Source organism: Homo sapiens, chromosome X (assembly GCF_000001405.40).
Source record: "Homo sapiens chromosome X, GRCh38.p14 Primary Assembly".
NCBI lineage: Eukaryota > Metazoa > Chordata > Mammalia > Primates > Hominidae > Homo > Homo sapiens.
Genome location: NC_000023.11, coordinates 57984363 through 57987044, shown reverse-complemented (window position 1 = coordinate 57987044; position 2682 = coordinate 57984363). Strand labels below are relative to the sequence as shown.

The 2682-nt window shown below is 46.2% G+C and overlaps 1 pseudogene; it reads right to left on the bottom strand.

Annotated features, from left to right (window-relative positions):
- KRT8P17 (keratin 8 pseudogene 17) lies at positions 714–2440 on the bottom strand (annotated as a pseudogene).

The following is a 2682-nucleotide window of genomic DNA, read 5'->3' as shown; positions in this document are numbered from 1 at the left end:
ATTTAAACTGCCCTTTAGACCAAATGGAACTTGGTGATATTTACAAAATTTTTTATCCAACAACTACAGAATACATATTGTTCTCATCAGTATATGAAACATTCTCCAGTATAGATTACATGTTTAGCCAAAAAACAAGTCTCAACAAATTTTAAAGAATTGAAATAACTTCAAGTACAAAATTGAATAAAACTAAAAGCTAAAAACAGAAGGAATATTCAAAACTATACAAACACATGGAAATTAAATATTCCTGAACAACAAATGAATCAGTGAATAAAGTAGAAAAAAATTAAAATTCTCTTAAAGATATGAAAAAAACATGCCATACCAAAAAAAATGGGATATGACAAAAGCAGTTTAAAGCAGGAGGTTTATAGTAATAAACATCTACATGAATGTAAAAAATATCTCAAATAAACAACCTAACATTGCATGTCAAGGAATTATAAAATTAGGATTGAATCAAATACAAAATAAGTAAAAGAAAAGTTTTTTTTCTGAGCTATCTGAGGTTTTATTTTGGAAAAAGGAAAGAAAGAAAGAAAAAGAAAGAAGAAAGAAAGGAAAGAAAGAAAGTAAAAAGAAAAGAAAGAAAGAAAAGAGAAGAAAGAACAGAGAAAGAAAGAAGAAAGAAAGAAAGAGAAAGAAAGAAGGAAGGAAGGAAGGAAAGAAGGAAGGAAGGAAGGAAGGAAGCAAGGAAGGAAGGAAGGAAGAAATTGAATTGTTTTGTAGCTGGAGGCATGGGCAAGGGGCATCCCCAGGCCGTGAACTCCCCCGCGGGTGGGCTGAGGGCTAGGGCTGAGGCTCAGGTGTGTCTCCTGTTCCCTGTGCTTCCCTGCACAGCAGCCTGCCTCTGGGCTCTGAGGCAGCCGCAGGAGGGGCAGGCTGGGAGGGGCTGCCACCGCTGTTCACTTGGGCAGGACGTCAGAGGACTTGGACACGAGCTTCCCATTCTGGGCCTCAATCTTCTTCACAACCGCGGCCCTGGTGGAGCTGGTGTGGCTGAAGGAGCTGGAGCCAGCGCCAGAGCCAAAGCTGGAGCCCAGGCTGTAGCTGAGGCTGGGGCTTGTGAGGCCCCCATAGGCCGAGCTCAGACTACCTGCATAGCCACTGGTGGTCTTCATATGGATACTCATGCTCTGCATCCCAGACTCCAGCCAGCTCCCCTCGCTCTCCAGCAGCTTCCTGTAGGTGGTGATCACGATGTCCTGAGCCAACTTGAAGTTCATCAGCTCCTGGTACTCATGCAGCTGCAGTGCCATGTCCTGCTTGGCCCGCTGCAGGGCAGCCTCCAGCTGGGAAAGCTTGGCATTGGCATCCTTAATGACCAGCTCCCCACGTTGTTCCACATCTGTTATGGTGGACTCCAGGAAGCCCTCTGGCCTTTGAGGCCCTCAATCTCAGCCTGGAGCCAGCTGATGTTCTGGTTTATCGTGGAGATCTCAGTCTTTGTACTAAGTAGGTCATCCCCGTGCTCCCCAGCCAGCATCTGCAGTTCCTCATACTAGTTCTGGTACATTCTCTCAGCCTCAGCCCAGCTGCGGTTAGCGATCTCCTCGTACTGCACCTTGACCTCAGCAATGATGCTGTCCATGTCCAGGGAGTGGCTGTTGTCCATGGACAGCACCACAGACATGTCCAGGATCTGGGACTGCAGCTCCCGGATCTCTTGTTCATACAACTTCCTGAGGAAGTTGATCTCATCAGTCGGCCCTTCCAGGCGATACTCCAGCTCTACCTTGTTCATGTAAGCTTCATCCACATCCTTCTTGATGAGGACAAATTCATTCTCCATCTCTGTATACTTATTGATCTCATCCTCATACTTGTTCTTGAAATCCTCCACCAGCCCCTGCATGTTGCCAAGCTCTGCCTCCAGCTTCAGCTTCTTCCGGCCCAGAGTCTCCAGCTGCCACCTAAGGTTGTTGATGTAGCTCTCGAACATGTTGTCTAGGTTGCTCTGAGCCATCTTCTGCTGCTGCAGGAGGCTCCACTTGTTCTCCAGCATCTTGTTCTGCTGCTCCAGGAACTGTACCTTGTCAATGAAGGAGGCAAACTTGTTGAGGGTCTTGATCTGCTCCTTCTCTTAGGTGTGCATGGCCTGGATGTTGAGGTCCACCTCCAGGTTAATGGGGCTCAGCAGGCTCTGGTTGACCATTACAGCAGTGATGACTTCCATGCCGCTGGCCCCACCATAGCCTCTGCCCAGGCCACCCTGGAAGCTGCTGCTGCCCGCTCGGGAGAAGCTCAAGGAGCTGATGTGGGCACTGGGCCCACTCAAGTAGGAGCAGCTGCTGAAGAACCAGGGGCCAGAGGTGGACACCTTGTAGGACTTCTGGGTCACCCTGATGGACATGGTGGAAGCAGGAGTGGAGGCAGGTGGGCTGAACCAGGTGGAGATTCCAGAAGGGGCAGAGAAGCTGCTTCTTGGTCAAGAAAATAAAATTTTAAAATAGAGCAAAAATAAACAAAATTGACACTGAAATAACAATAAAAAAATGAAAAAAAAAGCTGTTTTTTGAAAAAATAAAACACAATTGACAAAGCATAAACTAGACTAATCAGGAAACAAAAAGAAAACCAAATAAAATCAGAAACAGAAAAGAAAACCTTACACTTGATACCACAAAAATAAAAAGGATCATTAGATGCTGGGCGTGGTGGCTCATGCCTGTAATC